The following is a 20,691-nucleotide window of genomic DNA, read 5'->3' on the forward strand; positions in this document are numbered from 1 at the left end:
TTATTATTTTGAAGTATGTTCCTTCAATGCTTCATTTGTTGAGGGTTTTTTTAACATAAAGTTATGTTGGATTTTATTGAAAGTATTTTCTGCATTTATTGAGATAATCATATGGCTTTTGTTTTTAGTTTTGTTTATGCGATGAATCACATTTATTGATTTGTGTATGTTGAATCAACCTTGCATCCTAGGAATAAAGCCTACTTGATCATGGTGGATTAGTTTTTTGATGTGCTGCTGGATTCAGTTTGCTAACATTTTGTTGAGGATTTTTTTTTTTTTGGTAGTGCCATCTCTTATCTCACAATCCAAGATGTCAGAAGTCAGGGCAGGCTTGACTAGATTCTCTGCTCAGGATTTTGCCAAGTTGCAATCAAAGTACTGGCCAGGCACGGCTTTTATTGGGAGGATCTGAAAAAGAATTGCTTCAAAGTTCACTCAAGTTGTTGGCCAGATTCAGTTCCTTGGGGTTGTAGAACCAAGGTCACCATTTCCTTGCTGGCTGTGAGGTAGGGGCTGCTCTCAGCTTCTAGAAGCTGCTCCCATTACTTGCCATGGGGCCTTCATCTTCAAGCCAGCAATTGTTCATCAAATCCTATTTGTGCTTCCAATCGCTGACATCCTCTTCTGTGACTAGCTGAAGACAGCTCTGCTTTTAGAGGGCTTATGTGATCCATCAGGCCTGCTAGACAATCTTTCTTCACCTTATAATGAAACAGTTATGGAGTGGGATCTCATCATTACTCCCAGGATCCACCCACACTCATAGGGAAGGGGGCAATACAAAGAAGGGTCTTTGGGGGTGATTCTTAGAATTCTGCCTGCCACAGGGAGCTTCAAGTATAGCGCTGGTCAGCAGTAAAAGCACCATCTTCCCTGCCCAGACAAAGGCCAGCCTTGGGTGCCTGTGCAGGGCCTTGGGGGCTTCTTGTCCAGAATGAGGTTCATCCTTCATGAGCTGTGGGCGGACAGATAAAAGGACTGTGGGTTACCATTGGGGGTTGAGAGCTTGAAATAAAAACAAAAAATAAAATTATGTACTGATTTTAATTATTAGGACTTTCTCTTTTGTGTATTCTTGATATTTAGATGACAAACTGTTACTATGCACTCCGTCTTACAGAAATGTCTGCAATGTGCAGTAGGGGCTTGAATCAAACTCTGTTCCTTAACTTTCCTTCCTCCTTGCTTTTTGGCCCTCACCCAGGCCCAACAACTCCCTTATCAGCAGACAAAAGGGATACACCTTTTGGCCGGCACCAAATAGAATCAAAGTCCCATTATCAGGTCAGATGTCTATGCAAATCAAAGTATTATTTAAAAAAAACAAACCAGAAGGACACCGCAGAGTGTATGAGCTCTTTCTTAGGTGAGTCCCTTATTTTCTTTAAGCTATGGATTCCTACTCATTTGACTAGGTTGATTCATTTTCAGGTTTGTTTTTGTTTTTGATTGTTGAACTTCAGAAATTCCATTTATTTTCATTTGTCTTAGAAGTCTTCTGAGAACCAGCTATTTCTTCCATAACTCTCCCTAAGTAATTCTTACTCTATTTCTAATCTATAAGGTTTTCTGACTTTTTGCCCTTCAAAGCAATTTGGTAGGCAGACATCACAGAAGTCTCTTCACATCTCATTTTATCCTATAGTTCTGCCACCCACCCCGAGCTTTTGCAGGAATTTAGTGCTATTTTTGTCATATCTGGTTAATGCCAAAAAACAATTCTCTGGTTTCACCACTAACGCTCTTAGAAGGATCTGCTACATGGTTAACAGAGCTCAGCAGTTAGTCCTACATTCTTTACTTCATTTCCTGTCATGCTTGTATCTTGCAAACTTCATGATGTCATCCAGTTTGGAATACCTTGCTTCTGATATTTGCCCATTCACTGAACCGGAGGATTTGGGCCCCTCCCTCCTAAAAACAAATTGATGGATGACTGGATCTTTAATACCCCACCCCCAGCTTTTACCTTCTGCATGAAAATCTGAAGACTTATGAATGAGAATGGCTATATCCTGTTTCATCAATAGTTTTTCACTGTACATTTTTAAAAGGAGCGATCTGGAAACTTTTATATTCGTAAACATGTAAAGGTGTTAGGAATTTAATTCCCACATATAAGCATGTAATGCAAGCCCAGGAATGTTCTCGTGGAAAGTTTCTTCATGACATATTTGAGGTAGGAATCAGGTCATACTCTTCGTCTGTTACTCCTTCATGCGCTTTGTTCTAGACTCATGATGTTAATTTTGACACACACACTTTCTCCATCATGTGCCCACTCCACAGTCACGCCTATGAACAGAGGTGGTGAGTGTTGATAGTATTTGAAGAATCCAGGAATAGCTGAGTTCTCTCTGCTCCTCAAGCCTGCCTCCCTCTTTGGGGTTGTCAAGGGAACAGAAAAAATGAAAATCCACTTACTGTTTTATGACAAATTGTCCTAAGGCCTAATTTCCCCACAGTGAAACACTTTGGAAAAGCTTGGAAGCCCACCCCTTTCCACCCTAGACCTGAGGGCGCCTGTGTGGAGAGGAGGAAAGAGTGGGAGGATGAGATAGCAAGGTTTTGTTCAAGGACACAAGCTCTGCCTCCACTGACCCAGCCAGCTGCAAGAAGAAAGAAAGTGCGGGTACATGGCTTTGAGATACACCTCCCTCCACTCTCCTGCGTTTCCGCTATTAGCCTTCTTTTCATCCTTAAAACATGCCAACTTCTTTTCTCTCTCTGGCCTTTGCATTCGTTAGTAATGGCCTTCCGCAAGATAGTCATTTCCTCCTCAACTTTCAAGTCAGAATTCAGATGCCACCATCTCTGAGGGCTCTTTCTTGCCCATCATAGCTAAAGCATTCCGCCTGACTCTTTGCACAGGTGAGCCTACTTCATATTTTTTTTTTTTTTTTTTTTTTGACATGGTCTTGCTGTATCACCCAGGCTGGTCTCAAACTCCTGAGCTCAAGTAATCTCCTGTAGCTGGGACTATAGGCATGCCACTGCACCCAACTAATTAAAAAAAATTTTTTTAAAGAAACAGGGTCCTAATTTCATATTTTTGATAGCATGTATTGATAAAGTGTGTGATTCCATTGCCTTCCTCCTCCCGTTAGAATGTCAGGGGCACTGGTTTATACGTTGCTGTATCTCCAGCACCTGAAACAGCACTCAGCTCATGGTAGGCATTCAGTAAGTCCTTGACTGGTTGCCAGCGACCCATTCACCAATGAGCATAATCCAATCCATGTCTTGAAATCCAGCCAATCAGGTCTCATTACCTCTTCTAGCAGGGGAGTGAGGAAGAAGGTGGGAAGTCTGTTATATTAGTTATCAGTTGCTGCACAGCAAATTACCCTAAAACACAATGGCTTAAAACAACAGGCATTTATGATCTCAGTTTCTGTGCTCATGAATTCAGAACAGCCTTAGCTGGACCATTCTGCTCTGGGTCTCCCCTAAGGTTGCAGTCAAGATGTGGGCTACAGCTGCAGCTGTTTAAAGCTTGATGGAGCTGGAGGGTCTGCTTCCAAGATGGATCATTCCCATGGCTATTGGCAGGAGGCCTGAATTCTGATGGCAGAAGGCCACTGGTAGGAGGCCTTAGTCCTTCCCCACATAGACCTTTCAATAAGGCGATGTAAATGTCCTGACTGTATGGCAGCTGGCTTCCCTCAGAGCCTGTGATAAGGAAAGAGTGGCAGAAGCCACAAAGTCTTCTATGATCCAGCCTTGAAAGTACGTATCATCACATCTGCCATATTCTCTAATCACACAGACCAACTTGGGTATGATATGGGAGGCAACTACACAAGGGTGTGAAGATTAGAAGCAAGGCTCACTGGGGGTCTTCTTAGAGACTACCTACCACACCTTTCCTCACCCGTAATCTACACTGCTTAGATTTCCTTTCTATCTGCAGCACTGACTTGCTGTGACAGATTAGGTAGGAGCAGGCCAGGGGAAGTGAATGGGACCTCAACCATTGACTGCTGGGTTGAGAGGTGGGATAAGCCTCCATACAGGATGCAGAGAAATTACAGTTTGATAAACCAAACAAAGCATTTGGAGAAAGTGACAGTCGATGACAGAGATAGTTGTAGAAAATAGTCGACAAGACATGGAGGAGGCCACACAACACACAGAAGGGTGCTGACAAGTAGGTGGAGACCAGTGACCAGGATCCACAAGCAAACCATATTTGAAGATTAAGGTTGCAATAAGCTGAAATCCTGTTAAGTCCATAATGGAGTATCCAGTCCCATACTTTAGATCCCCGAACAGGACTCTGATCCCAGAGAGAATTTGGTCAAACCCATTACTTGTCTTGGTCATCGCATACAAGACTGTGAGTTGGTATGTGCCTTCCTTCCTGATACTCTAATTTCATCCTCTTGCATTTCCAGTCATGCTCAATAGCATATACTTGCAAGAACACTGCACACTCTTTTCTTTCTCCTTGCTTCCGGCAATGGTAAACCTTCTTCATTGAATGCACATTTCTGTTTTGCCTGACCAACTCCTGCTTTTCCTCTAAAGTTAATCTCAGCCTAACCCCTTTCAAGGTGACTTACCTGACCACTTCCATCTGCCTTGACCATCCAGGTACTCTCCTTCAGAACCCCCTTATAACCTTCCACAGATTTCTGACACTGCACTCACCCCTGTCTCCCCAGGGGTCTCTGAGCTCCTTGAGGGCAGAGACAGAGCCTTTTGTTTGCTGTATTCTCAACACCTTGTCCAGGACTTGCCATATCAGAAACCTCATTAACACCTTAATAGATTAGTGAAAGGAACTGCCTGGGAGGCTTTTTCCCACTTTCCTACTGCAGTGCCAGAATGGAGGATGTCCTCCACCATGCCTTAGGAAAATTAATAAAAAGTGAATATTCTCAGGGACTCAGTCCCAGATCACCACCTAGGATTGCATAGGGTGTGACCTCACAGGTGCTGTAACTGCTGAAGCAAGAAATTATGCACCATATATAAGTATTATGCCCCATGTATAAGTCTGTTCTCACACTGCCTTAAAGAACTACCTGATGCTGGGTAATTTATAAAGAAAAGAGATTTCATTGACAGACAGTTCCACAGGCTGTACAGGAGACATAGCTGGGGAGGCCTCAGGAAATTTACAATCATGGCAGAAGGGCAAAGGGAAACAAGCACATCTTCAACATGGTGGCAGGATAGAGAGAGAGAAAAAGGGGAAGTGCTACACACCTTTAAAGAACCAGATCTTTTGAGAACTCTATCACAAAACAGCACTAGGGCAATGGCACTGAGACATTAGAAACCACCCCCGTGATTCAATCACCTCCCACTGGACCCCACCTCCAACACTTGAGATCACAGTTCAACATGAAATTAGAGTTGGGACACAGCCAAACCATATCACCCCAGGAGGCAGTGTCTTCGGGCAGTGGCAGGCACAGGGATGCCATAGTACATGGAAGTCAGGAGGGGTGAGGAAAGTCCACAATAACCTGGACGTGGAGATGCACTCAGGCAAAGGCTCCATTTCACACAGCCTTCCTTGCAGGAAAGTGTGGTCCTGTGACTAAATTCTGTTCAGCAGAACCTCAGTGGAAATTGTGTTAAATTTTTGTAAACTGTCCTTAAGTGGAGTGTGTGCTCATCCTTTCTCCTCTCTGCTTCTGGCTGGAATGTGGACGTGTTGGCAGGAACTGGAGCAGCCATTTGGACCATGAGCTAACCATGAATGCAGGCCTCTTGGGGAACAGCAATGAGACAGAATCATGGGAATGATACCATGGCACCCCTACTGGCCTTGGGCCACCTATTTCAGACTTTTATACGAGAGGGAAATATAGTTATATATTTAAGCTATTTGGTAGGGGGGACGGTCATGTGTAGACAAACCTAATCCTAGAGAAATATGGGCAGTTTGTATGACATTCCCAGGAATTTTGAGCTTCTTAATATCTTATAACCCAACCATATTCTTGGACTTGAAGGTGTAACATTTGTATCCATTCAAGATTTTACTCATTCAAGACTTGTGGTAGAAGGGATTCCATACAGGCAGACTGAGCTTGGGAATAGATAGCAGTTGCAGATGGATACCCCTGGGAAACTCTGGCATTCTGAAGCAAGATAATGCTGGTGACTGTGCTTGTGGCTTCTGATGGAGCCACATAGTCTTAATGCTAGCCAACACCCTCCTTCAGGAGTGCCCATGTACCTGACTTCATCTGGTGTGGTGTAGAACTACAGGCAAAACTGACCCAGGAAAAAAATAGGGTGGTGATGATGGGGTTGACAGAACAGTTTCAGGGCGAAGACTTTCTTTGAATCTCCAAGGAGCCCAGAAGGCTTTTTAGACTATAAAGATCCATCTCCTGAATCTATTTTACCACTCCGAGGGGATGTTTTTGAATTAACATAGACTCCCTGTAAAGTTGCAAATGCAACAGTCATCTGTACCTTACTGAAAGTTGCTTTAATTAGACCAAGTATTTGCAGTGGTCAGCTTCAAAAGAATAGAGTTTACAAGAAAGCAAAGGTAGGGAGAAAAATATGGTGGTTCATTTGGAAGAAGACAGGCTTGCCTTGGGCTTAGCGATTCAGAGCCCAGCAAGGCTAAGGGTCTGCAGGGTGAGGAGGAGAGGACTGTGGGATGGGCTGTGGAAAGACTTGGTCACTTTTCAGTTGGCTCCTGCTCCATTGGGGTTGCTGTGCCCTGAAAATCACCTCAGTGCTGTCCTTGGCACATCTTTGGTATCTGGAATTGTCAGAGCTGTGATGTCAGCACTTGCCTGGAAGCTATGGACTACAGCCAACCATGGCTTGGCCTGGGCCCATGAACTGATGGTGGCAGCCATTTAGTGAGTGCTACTGATGAGGAAACTGAAGCTTAGTGAAGTTAGGTAATTCACGCAGGCCACAGATGGCCAAGCAGTCTGACCCCACTTAGTCTGACCCCAAAATGCAAGCATCCTTAGTGTAGGGCATCCAAGGGTCTTTCTACCTGGTTTCTGCTCACTCTTTTCAAGAGCCAGAGAAAAGACAGGGAGGAGCAGAGGACGAGAAGTGCAGCCTCTTGCTGCAGAAGGACACAGAGGGACAGCTCGGCCCCTCCTCTACTGACTTCTGTCCCTAGTCCCTCACTTCTCTCTCCACTCTCTATCATTCTTGGGAATTTTCAGTAGTTTCCAAATCTGGCTGCTTAGGGAAATTTTAAAAATATAGATTCCAGGCCCCAAGTCAAGGAGCCTTCTAATTTTGTTGGCTTTGGTGACAGTGATTTGCAGCCCAGGCTGAGGATAGGAGGGGAATGGGGTTGGAAGAGCCTCAGAAATCTCCTTCTTAGATGCTTAGGCCTCTAGTGCATGAAGTTCTTTGTGATAAGAAAACAAAAACAAACAAAAAACACCACCCCTGTGTAAAGCCAGTGAAGTGGGTTGAGAGAAACACCATCTCCTGTTTAGTGACTGACTATGATATTTTAATCACTTCGACATACTCACAAGTCACATGGAAACCAAGCATTCCTTAAAATGCTTCCTGGGTTTCCTTAAACATTTTATTCCCTTGGATAATAGGGAAGCAATTTTGCTGACTTAGGAAAACATAGAAAAATAGGTGAACTTTGCCTTGGTCTTCCTTCATCCCTGCCTCCTCTGAGAGGTTTCCAGGGCTCTCATTCAGTCCCACAGATGCTCCAGACATGCCTCCTGCACCCCTTCCCAGCCTTGGACCCTACAGGTTATGCATCGTCTTCCTCTTTCTACCTTCTTTGCCCCCAGCCTCACCTCAAATCCTCTTGTTCCCTTAGGCCAAGACAGCAGCTGCTTGCAAAGCAAGCTAATAAGTGGATGCCCTTTGTGATACCGGTGACTCCGTGCATCCCTGGAGAGCCCTACACATCCTGAGCTTTCACCCTTCTCTGTTTGCTTATAGGATTGGTTGCTGATCTTAGTAAGAGGCCATTGCTAAGGAACTCAATACTTCCCTGGAAAGGAATCAAGAATTGATGACATGACTGAAACACAGGATGCTTGGTATTTTTGAAGTCTGGCTACTAGTGACTAAGGATGAAAGTGTAGACTAAAACAACAAGCCAGCTTTTCAGTGTTACTCTTCATCTATTACATTGAAGTATTTTTGAGTAAAGTAATAGCAAATTATGCTCTGTTCAAGAAAAGTGACAGTTGTCTGCTTTTGCATGAGCATTCAAGGACAGCAGAAAGATTCATGGAGTGCCCTTCTGACTGTTCCCACCAGGAGAGGCAGCTATGAGATGGGCCCTTCAATGTCAAACTCTATTAGCCTTAAGGATACACACTATGATTTATGGGGATGAGGAGGTTTGCTTTAAGATCACAGAATGTTAGAGTCAGAAGGGACTTTCCAAAGTGAATTTTCTTTTTTTTTTTTTTTGCTGATAGGAAAATTGTTTTGCCATCTCTGAGCACCCCTGCCAGCTCACAGGAGTTAGAGGTAGCTCTAATGATTGCCATGTCTTGAGGGATGGAAAGAAAGATTAAACACCTTCAAAAAACGGGGAAGAGCAGATACTGGGTGCCCTCCAGAATCTTCTTTGTATGCCCTTCAGTAATCAGCAAAATTGAATTAATTACTGATGGCCAAGGACCCTACTGGTATTCTCAAGTGGAGATGATAGTGATCCATTTATGGAAAAAATGTCCTCAGATCCCAAGGCACCTGTTGTTTTCCACAACTATACTTTGTTCAGGATACAGCACCATAGATGAACACCATACTTGCAGGATAGTGTATTATACCCTTGACATGGTGAGCAAGCCCAACTTAAAACCCCCAGAATACCCACTGATATGGTTTGGCTGTGTCCCCACCCAAATCTCATCTTGAATTGTAGTTCCCATAATTCCCTTGTGTGGGATGGACCCAGTGGGAAATAATTGAATCATGGGGGTGGTTCCCCCATACTGTTCTCATGGTAGTAATAAGTCTCATGAGATCTGATGATTTTATAAGGGGAAACCCCTTTGGCTTGGCTTTCATTCTCTCTTTGCTGCTGCCATGTAAGATGTGCCTTTTGCCTTCCACCATGATTGTGAGGCCTCCCCAGCCACGTGGAACTATGAGTCCATTAAATCTCTTTTCCTTTATAAATTACTCAGTCTTAGATATGTCTTTATCAGCAGTACGAAAACAGACTAATACACTCACCCTGATATCAGAAAGACAATGGCCAGAATCCTATGTTCACATATATTGCTGGGTAAGACCTCTTTCTAAACAGTAGACAACTGTAAGATGCCCTTTCAATTCTTGCCCCACTGGGCTCTCCATTCCCTGTATATCCAGCCTTTTGTCTACTTGGCCACTGAGATCTGGACATCATATAATAAATAGCTCAAAGTCCCTGTGGCAACTCCCTTTCCCAATGACTCAACTCTGACAGCTAACATGCACTTGCTGTGAAGCTTACTCTTTGCAAGGTTGGTCCTGCCACACAGGTTTTTATTTTTAATCTAAACACTTCCAGAAATCACAAGGTTTAGAATTATTTTCCCCTGACTCACACTCAGATTAGGATTCTGTGTTTATTATAAAACTGTTGTTTTAGGAGCATTTTGGGCGCAAAACGCCAAACCTAAGAAGTTGAAGTTTAACCTCCTGGTCATAAGAAAGGAGCTCAGTCTATTCTTGGACCTTCTTGGTGTTGAACAGACAGAGACATGGGTTTTGAAAGACGGTGTTCTAATTTCTCATTAGGTCAGGCTCCAACCTACAATGGGAGTTGTTGGAAGCCTGACAGCCATTGTAGAGTCCCAGGGTGGATGCTTGAGACTGCTATTGTGAAAACAAGGCAGGAAAAGGATTTTTTCCCCCTCATACATCACTTTTTATCACATGACCTTGTAATCACACACTTTTCCCTTTATAGCATGGCCTATCCTTCTCAAAGCACGTTCACAAACAGCACCCCTTCCCTACTCCTGCCATAAACAGGCATGAAGAGGGACCCAGAGAGCCTTCTTGCGTGTCCATAACACGACCCCACCCACCTCCCAATGCACACGACCTTTTCACCACCATCTGCCAGGATGCTATTGGGACAAATCTCAGTCACCATTAGGAAGCTAGGATTCCCCCATCTCCACCAGGTCCTCCCTCATCTCTAGTCTCTCACCTACATACAGCACCTGTATATCATCCATCTAGCCCCATCTCCCACTCCTGCACAGAGCAAAACCTTGCCATGGGACCCACTGGAACTCAAGATTTGTTGTCAGCAAAATCGCCCATATCCCTCCCCCGACCCATCAAACTTTCCTACCTTCTTACGCTGTCTGAATGCTTTCTCTGCAGCTGTCTTCTATCTCCCACAGCCCTCATGGCATAAGCCCGAGGGCTTAAAGGTGGGGTAGGTGTTGTCCTTGGTCCTTATTGTCCTTCTCCCAAACCATGCTCATACTCTCTTTCCTCCCCTTTTCCCCTCAATTTTGAACCCCATGCTATCAGACTAAACCACTTGCTACCCTCCTTACTCCAGCCATCTATAGACCTGCAGGTCACTCACCTCTGTTTCTAGAAGAGTTTAGTTCCTGGCTCAGGGTCACTCTCCCCAGTGCCACATTCATCATGACCCTGGAGGATTTCACCCACTTAGGTGATCCTTCTCACCCCTGGTCTCTGAGGTCCTTTCCAATGATTGTGTCCTTATCCTTCTCATCCACGCATCTCATGGTCTCAGCCTCTCCATAGCCACAGATTTCACTCTCCCATATGCTCAACTTCAAACACCTCCTTTTCTGACCCCATTCTCCCAGCTATTGATGTTACTCCCTCTAGTATCTCGGCTTCAACAGTTCTTCAGTTCTATTGAGACTGCATTGGTTTGCTATCACTGCTGTAACAAATAACACATATTTAGTGGCTTAAAAAAACACAAATGTGTTGTTTTACAGTTCTGGAGGACAGAAGTCTGAAATCAGTTTCACCTGGCTAAAGTCAAAATGTTGGTAGAACTGGTTCCTTCCAGAGGCGCTCAGGGGAGAATCTACTTCCCTGCCTTTCCCAGCAGCTGGTGGCCACCTGTATTTCTTAGCTAGTGGTCCCTTCTCCATCATCAAAGAGCATCACTCTCTCACTTCAGGTCTTTGGTTGAAAGTTATCCTCACTGTTACATTCTGTCCCTTATTTTGCTTTTTCTTTGTTTTAGCATTTTTTTGTTTTGGTCTCATTAGTATCCTCCACCCATCCCTGATACCTGGTCTAGATATTAACCTCCATGAGGATAGGGAGTTGTTTTGTTCATTGATGTGTCTAATAATTTAAGACAGTAGGTGCTCAATACATATTTATTACCAGAATAAATAAATTTTAATCTCACTACTTTTATAAATCAATGCAGGGAATTAAATTAATAATTACTAAGAGGACAGGCATTGTACTAGACATTGATATAGGGTTGTCAGTTTTAACAAAATTACTAGCTGGAATCAATTTATCGAGTAAAGATTGTTTATCTTATGGAACATTTAATGATGGAAATCTGCATTTACATTCCTTTTATTACCAAATAAGTGTAATTTTTTAAAAAACCTCCAACAAACCACAGAGTTTGGTTTTTACTGATTCAGGACTGGTTCTGTTATAGCCATTAAACCAAGATTACTCATAGCACAAAAAATTTTTTTCAGTCTGGTATTCAATACAGAAGTTAGAGCAATTATAAAACTAGTTCTTACATAGAGCAGCAGATTCCCTGTGGAAAACACATTTCCACTTATCAAAAAATGACATTCTGTTGAGAGATATGAACATCATGTCCAAAATACCAACTCTCCTCCCAGAGAAAATTTGGAGGGAGCCCCTTTCTTTTCACATTGACAACCTCCAGATTTGAATTACTCATCAAAGGATTTATCACGATCAGACAAGTGCAAAAGATTCAGAGCATGATATGGTGAATTCTAGCCGTTCCTTCTACAGTTTGAGACCTCTTAGATTCACATTTGTGCTGTGGCAGTAAATTTATGATCTACATAAACAAGAAGCTCATTTTTCTGCAATTTGTATATGGCTTTCATGCCAGAGATTATAGCATCTTTTTTTTATTGTACTTTGAAACCAAATTAAATCTTTACAATTCTTGATTCAAGGTTGATGAAGTTACCGAAAGTGTCTTGTTTTTTTAAAGTTCTGCAACAAATAATTTAAAATTTTGCATGTTCTTTGATTTATAACTCCTTAACTAGAACTTTACCCTAAGTAAATGGAACTTAATGGAACGTATTCAGGCATTGGAAACAGATAGGCCTGGGTTCTGATCCAGACTCAAGCATTAATATCACATCCACATGTGTCTTTTTTGTTTCAGTTTTCTCACCTGTAAGATCAGAATAACACTGTATATCTTTTAAGATTGTTGTGAGATTTAGATATATTAGAAACACAGTCCCCTAGGCAGGTCTGGTCCATAGAAAGTGCTGAAAAATGATAACAATCAAGAGTCCCACAGAGCTAAAACATGACTTACAATGTTGAAAATTTTGGAGCAAATGAAATATCCAGCAATAGGGGATTGTGAAATAAATTTTGGTAAAGCCATGCAATGAAACTTTCTGCAGCTATGTGGAAAGACATTGCAGAAGAATTTTTAATGACCTAGAAAAATGTTCATGATAAAATGTTACGTGAAATTCCACTCGTAGGTATAGGAGTAAAACAGGTAGTCAAACAAAAACTTGTAGGTAAATGTTCATAAAAGCATTATTTGCAAAAGCCAAAAGGTTGAAAGAACCCAAATGCCCATCAGCTAATGAATGGATAAACAATATATTATATGTCCATACAATGGAATATTATTCATCCATGAATGAATTAAAGTATTGATACATGCTACAGTATGGATGTACCTTGAAAACACCATGCTAAGTGAAGTGAAAGAAGCCAGATGCAAAATCACACATTTTTTATTCCATTTGTATGAAACACCTAGAATAGATAAATCCATAAAAACAGAAGGCAGATTAATGATTGCTATGGGCTAGGGGTGTGAGAAATGGGGAGGGGGGGTGACTGCTAATTGTGTATGGCGTTTCTTTTTAGGGTGATGAAAAAGTTCTAGAACTAGAATAGTGATAATGGTTGCACAACATTATGAATGTACTTGATGCCACTGAATTGCACACTTTTAAATAGTTAAAATGGTAAATTTTATGTGTATTGTATCAAAATAAAAAATGTTACCTGAAAAAATATAGCTTGAAAACTTGTGTTTACAGTGAAATATTATTTATATCCACTTATACGTGCACACACACACACAGGAATTTATACACCAAAATGTTAGTAGTGGTTATTTCTCACCATGATATCACAGGTGATTTTTAAAATCATTTGCACTATCTTAATTTTTTCAGTAAGTATGTATTACTTTTATAATAAGGGATGAAGTTTAAGGATAATAAAAGATGAAGTTTAAGGATAAAGAATCACAAAAACAAAATTGCTGAATAAATGTAAAAGATGAAAGTAGACCTGATATAGTTTGGCTCTGTGTCCCCACTCAAATCTCATCTTGAATTGTAATTCCCAGGTGTCCAGGGAAGTACCTGGTGGGAGGTGACTGGATCATGGGGGTGGTTTCCCCCATGCTGTTCTCATGATAGTGAGGGAGTTTTCATGAGATCTGATGGTTTTAAGTGGCAGTTTTGCCCTGTGCACACTCTCTCCTGCTGCCATGTAAGATGTGCCTTGCTTCCCCTTTGCCTTCCACCATGATTGTAAGTTTCCTAAGGCCTCCCCAGCCATGCAGAACTGTGAGTCAGTTAAACCTCTTCTCTTCATAAATTACCCAGTCTCAGGTAGTATCTTTATAGTAGTGTGAAAACAAACTAATACAAAACCCAATACTGACCTGCCCCTATGTTTATACAATAAAAGTATTGAGCATTATTTCATAATTACATCCTGTGTGCTGACAGTTCTGAAGGGTGCTTTGCTGCACAGAGCCAGCCACGTCTGCCTTTCACACCCGAATTTGTGTGGAATCAAGTCCCATACTTTACATCTAATTTGCAAATCACTGTAGTAACGCATAAACTTAGAGAGTAAGTAGACATAATTGCACCTAAGTCATGGCATCACAAGATAACTATAACACTTAACATACATACATATATATATATGCCCTACTTTAAAAAATCTCATTTGTTTTTCATAAAGGGAGCACTCAAATCCTAGTCAGTGGGGTTCAAAACAAGACAATTAGCAGTTCTATTTATAATTGCGTTCATTTATCTTATTAACCCCATGAGGAAAACCTCATTATTCTTATTTTATACAAGGTGAAATTTGGACTCAGGTGAATCACTTCCTTGGGTTCAGGGTGTTAGTAAATGGTAGGCCCAGAATTCATACACAGGTTTGTGGGAAACTCAAGCTCATACTCTACCTGCAGTCACTGTTGCCTTGTCATTTCATGGATGGAGGAGCAGATGTTCAGAGAGGTAACCTAACTGGGCCAAAGTCACAGCTAATGTATGATAGACTTGGGATTTGATCTTCGTCTAGTGAATTTCACCAATCTCAGCTGCCTCTTGAGCATTTCTTGATGATACTGACTACATTGATATCATTCTCTTTCAGGACACCAAAAAGACCATGATACAATACAACCTCAAAGAACTAGTAAAAAGATAACGGGGACTTCAGAATAAATAGAACTTATACGTGGAGAGAATAATGGTTCAACTAAGAATAAAGGTCTGACATGAAGTTCTAAAATGTTCCAAGTTCAAACAGATGCAAATACTTTATTTTAAATGGTATGATCACATAGAGATAACACTGAAATATGATCTACATTAAAATTTGAGTGGCAATGCAAAATGAATGAACTCTCTTAAAGACAGAATGAGACAAAACTTGGTATGAGTCTTGCAGGCAGAGCCACCTGCCAGTCTGGTGTGCCATCCGGAGCCATTGTTCAGCAGACATAATCTGTGTGACAGCAGATTTTTATATTCGAGCCACATCCCTCTTGCTCCATGGATAATCTAAAGGTGAACCCTATCAGACCATGTTCTCTAGCCTCATTTGAAGGAGACAGTTTAGTGTAGAACTTTTCAGCCTAAAGAGAAAACATGTACTGTTTTCCTTCACTTGCAACCTTTCTAACATAATGGATGATTCCCTTAGATGAATCTACCTCAGGTCTCCGTCATGCTTCTGAATTCTTCTCAAACCCTGCTGAAAGCCCATCTGGGAGCTCTCCAAGCTACGTATTAACCAAGTGACCTTGGTATCCTTGTTGCTTCATTGCAAACATTTGTGCTAAAATGACATTTCTTTCCCAAGACACTGACCACATCATCCAACCTACTCTTTTTCTTCAAGAAATCTCAATGACATTCAAACTCAATGACTTGACCTTCTGGTTCTTCCGTGTCTCACTTCACGCCTCTGCCAGGCTTTGCCTCCTGTTCTTGTCTCCTCTCACACCTCCCTGCCCTTTTGTTCAGCCTCTCCCTCTGCCCCTCTCAGCTGCCTTTGTGTTTTTGTTCTCAGGTTTTCTCGTGTGTTCCCAGTCACCTGTCTTGGATGCAAGCTTCTCCCTCAGCCTTAAGCCTTCAATCTCTGTCATGCTCACTTGATTTCCTGTGTGCCCAGAGCGGTACCCCAGTGATCCAGGACCTCACCTAGCTTCCATTTTCTTGTCCCCAGCCTGTGCAATGGAAGGCTGGAAGGGAGTTATTCACTAAGAGAGCTGCACGCTGAGATGGCCAATTTGAACACATAACCAGGCATGAGAAGATAAGCCAGAGGAGCCCTGCTTCCTCATTCATCCACTGATTCCTCAGTACGTTTGTTAAGAAGTCATTTCATAGCTGGGCGTGGTGGCTCACGCCTTTAATCCCAGCACTTTGGGAGGCCGAGGTGGGCAGATCACGAGTTCAGGAGATCGAGACCATCCTGGCAAACACGGTGAAACCCCATCTCTACTAAAAATACAAAAAATTAGCCGGGTGTGGTGGTGGGTGCCTGTAGTCCCAGCTACTCGGGAGGCGGAGCTTGCAGTGAGCCGAGATGGCACCACTGCACTCCAGCCTGGGCGACAGAGCGAGACTCCATCTCAAAAAGAAAAAAAAAAAAAAAAAGTCATTTCATATCAGACCCTGCGCTGGGTGACTAGCACGTGTATGACTGTGTTTGTGTTTACGTGTTATTTACAATGAGTCATGGCAGGGTTCTTGAACTTTCTTGGTCACAGCACCCCTAGTCTGTTAGTACTATTTTTATGGCTCCACCAGTCTGAGAGTAATAACTAACAGTTCTTTTTTTTTTTTTTTTTAACAATTAGGCTTAAACAACTTAAGAAGTACATATGGATTAACAATTTGGTAGACATTTGAAAAACATTCTTCTCTGGATACAGCCAGCAGGATACCCAAGAGTTCCTGACATTCCTTATGGGAGCGGCTACACCTTGAAATCAACCACGGAGGCCGCGGGGCTCCACCAGTCCCTGCCCATGGTCCAGCTCCCTCTCCACCCCACCAAGGGGAGTGCTCTGCTAAAAGAGTCTGAGTTAAATGATGCTGACTGGGCCAACCTAATGTGGAAGCGTTATCTGGAAGAACAAGAGGACAGCAAGATGGTGGATCTGTTTGTGGGCCAGATGAAAAGTTATCTCAAGTGCCAGGCCTGTGGGTACCACTCTATGACCTTCAAGGTTTTTTTTTTTTGTGACCTCTCCCTGACCATCCCCAAGAAAGGATTTGCTGGGGGCAAGGTGTCTCTGCGGGATTGTTTAAGCCTTTTCACCAAGGAAGAAGAGCTAGAGTTAGAGAATGCCTCAGTGTGTGACCCACATTGGCAGAAAACACATGGTGCCAAAAGTTGACAGTACAAAGATTCCCTTGAATCTTCATGCTCCATCTGAATCAATTTTCTGCCTCCTGAGGCTCCATCAAGAAAAGTTCTGTAGGTGTAGACTTCCCACTGCAGTGACTGAGCCTAGGGGACTTTGCCAGTGACAAAGTCGGAAGTCCTGTCTACCAGCTGTGTGCCCTTTGGAACCACTCAGGCAGCATCCACTGTGGCCACTACACAACCCTGTGCCAGTGCCAGACTGGTTGGCACGTTTACAATGACTCTTGTGTCTCCCCTGTAAGTGAAAACCAGGTGGCATCCAGTGAAGCCTACTGTTCTACCAACTGACGCAGGAGCCACCCCAGTGCCTGTGACACCCCCTCTAAGCCCTGGCCCCTGTGAAGCCCTTTAAACACCCTTAAGCCCCAGGCTCCCCATATATCTCAGAGACATCTATTTTTGTGTCTTTTAAGTCAGAGAGTGGGGAGAGGGTGGTTGTAGCTCCCATTATATATTTTTTCAAATTAAAAAGTACCTTTCCAAGTGGAGGATCCCTGGTCTCCCAGTCCCATGTACAGAGCTCACCAGGCCCCTGCACATGTACAGCCCCCAGACCCTCTGTAATCTCATTTTTTGTGAAAAAAAAGTACTTAAAATTTGAAATGTATTTAAAATTGAAAAACATACTTTGAAAAAAGTATTTTTATTTTATTTGTAAATAACCACCGTTACTTACAAATGGGATTTATGTGCATGTTGGTCACTGCACAAATTCTCAAACCTTAGAATCAGATTGGATACCACCACCCTCATTTTCCATTCCATACTGCATGCTTACTTGCATTTTAAGATAGTGACCACTAAATTCAACTTTGCCAAAAATATGACATTATGAAAAAGAATGTAGCATAATATAAATTTGAACCTCAACACCTTTGAGCCAGGAGTTCATGTGGTATCTGACCAGATGCTGTGTTTCTCTAGAAAATTTAAAATATCCCATAGCAACCCTATGAATTTGCTGTGGCACCCTGGGGTGCCTCAGTGTACAGTTTGGGATCTGTGGGACATGGATTCTGTTCTCCTGTTTTTTTATAGTCTGATAGAGAAGAGATGTCATATAAATAAGGAAGGATAGATTAGGTGCTATAAAAAATTCAACAGGTTAGAGCAGGGGTTCATTTGTGATATCATGAGCCAACAGAATAACAAAATAAAATGGTAGTGACTATGGAGGGTGCCTTTTTTTTTGAGTCAGGGTCTCACTCTGTTGTCCAGGCTGCGGTGCAGTGGTGCAATCATGGCTCACTGCATCCTCAACTTCCTAGGCTCAAATGATCCTCCTACCTCAGCCTCCCAGGTAGCTGGGACTATAACCATGTGCCACCACAGCTGGAAAATTTTTAAAATTTTTTCTAGAGAAAAAGTCTCACTTCATTACCCAGACTGGTGTCAAACTCCTGGGCTCAAGCAATCCTCCCACCTGAGTGTCCAAAAGTGCTGGGATAACAGTCATAAGCCACCGTGCCCCACCTGGTTGTTTATTTTCATGTTAGCAAAAGGACATCAAATTTTCAAAAATCATGCACTACTATCATCATTTTAATTACTTTTAAAATTTAGGAATAACTTAGGGTAATTTTTACATATGTAAATATTCATGTAACCATAACCTAGATCAGGAAATAGAATCATCTCAGAGGTACTCTCAGGTCGTTTCCAGTGAATACCTCACCTCTACCCCTCGCCCCATCCCAGGGAGAAAACTATTATATTGATCTCTAACCCTATAGAGTAGATCTACTAGTTATTGAACTTTATATAAATGGAATTATACAGTGTGGACTCTTATGTCTCACTTCTGTCTCAGCACAATGTCTGTGACATTCATTCACATTTTTGCATGCATGGGTAATTTGTTCTTTTTTCTTTGTATGAATATATCACACTATCTTAAAAAATTCTTTTTTTAAAAAAGGAATTTCTCAAATTGGAAAAAGTTATCTTTTTACTTTCTTCATAGATGTACTGCATAAGCACGCTTCCTGAAGTAATATATTATTTAATCAGTTTTGTTTGCTTGGAAACTTTAGAAAATTGTATGCCATTTTTTAAAGAATTGATTTCTTTTGCAACTTCCTTTTTCACTCAGTATTATGCTTGTGAGTCATCCATATTCAAAATAACCTATTGTTCATTTATTTTTAGTGCTGTATATAATTGTTTTTTGAAAAGGCACAATTTATCCATTTCCCTGATGATGGACATAAAAGAGTCATTTGTATCCTAAATATGAAGAGAATTTTCTTTCATCAGACATTCAATACTAAGCATTTGCCATAATTGTAACCTATCTTTTTTTTTTTTTGCATATTTTTCTAAGACCACTGTCTCATTGGAGGCTATTTTTAACATAAGTCTGCAAACCTAAGGCAGTCCTGGAATAGTTGTCATGCAGTGTGTTCAACGTGGCTCTTCTCAATTCACAGAGGGACTCTATATAGCCCATGGTCACACATCCCCAGATAGGCTCTGACCTCCTTATTAACAACACCCAAACCTCAGGAAATCTCTCAATAGAGCTTTCGACAAAAAGAGAACTGCACGGTGCCAAGTAAGGAACCTGACATCTCAGTCAATGTCAACCAGGGACCCCATTGAAAGAGTGATCCTGGAGCACATTGTAACAGCAAGAAACGCAGAAATATTTTCCAGCTACAAGAGAAAGGCATTAAATTGAATGCCTCTGAAATTAAGAAGTCCATATGCCTTTAAAACCTTCCAGTTCCTTTATCTAATAGGACCGTTTTGCCTTTATCATTGAATTCCCAAAGGCTTACTGACAGAAGACAATCATAAGAGCTAAGCAAAGCCCACTGCTATTAAATGTTTCCTAAGTAACAGGCACTCACTGAGCTAAGTGCTTTTATATGGTTGATCTCACTCATTCCTCATAACGAGAATGTTGACAAAGCTACTGTCATTATTAGTCCCATTTGATGGATGAAGCGGAAGTAATTTGCCCCAAGTCCTACAGCTAGTGTTAGCAGCATGGATTTGAAAACAGGTGGTTGTGACTTCAGAGCTTGTGTTCTTAGCCAGACACTTGTGCCCCTTGGCCCCTGTCTGTCCAGCTGCCAGTCTATGGGGACTGATGATATCTTGAATATAAGGATTGGAGACAGAGTAAGGCCATGTACAAGGGGCATTTGGCATCTTTGGAGTAACAGGTCTATGTTTTAGTGTTACTACAAAGTCTTCACTTGTGTTCATTCTTTTTTGTTCAGAAACACGCTGCGGGACACAGAAGGAATAGAACTCACAGTTATGAAGGCTCTAGTTCTAGACATTCTGTTCAAAGCTTCCACAGATATTATTTTATTTAATCATGACTCCAGCTCTGTGAGGTTGAGCATAAAATCCACAATGGCTGAGAAAACTGATGCTTAGAGAGATTGCTTGAGGCATGTGTTTTGTAGATAGGATTTAAACCTATGGCTTTAGCCTCTCAATCCAGATCCCTTTCTATAAGCCCCAAGGCCAGGGGAAGCTTTTGAGGACTATAATCTTACATCACTTATCTAACCATTTTAAAAACTCAGTATTTGGGACTCATAAGCCCATTAGAAATCATATTTTGTTTAGTCCTCTTTAAAATCTGCATTTAAATTAGCCTTAAGATCTGTTTAAATATAGGCTCAGAAAACGAATATGAGGGCTCCAAGGCAAATCTCATATGTCATATTTCTCAGGCTATCTATGAGTTTGCATCCTCTTTTCTAAAAGATACCACCTCCCAACTTTCTGTTAAGACGAAATAGGAAAATGCAAAAAGGCCATTATTTAATGATAACTTACTGA

The 20,691-nt window shown here is 41.9% G+C and overlaps 1 pseudogene; it reads left to right on the forward strand.

The window, feature by feature from the left end:
- USP21P1 (USP21 pseudogene 1) lies at nt 16,379-17,400 on the forward strand (annotated as a pseudogene).
- Nucleotides 17,401-20,691: the final 3,291 nt, after the last annotated feature.

The sequence above is a fragment of the Homo sapiens genome, chromosome 2 (assembly GCF_000001405.40).
Source record: "Homo sapiens chromosome 2, GRCh38.p14 Primary Assembly".
NCBI lineage: Eukaryota > Metazoa > Chordata > Mammalia > Primates > Hominidae > Homo > Homo sapiens.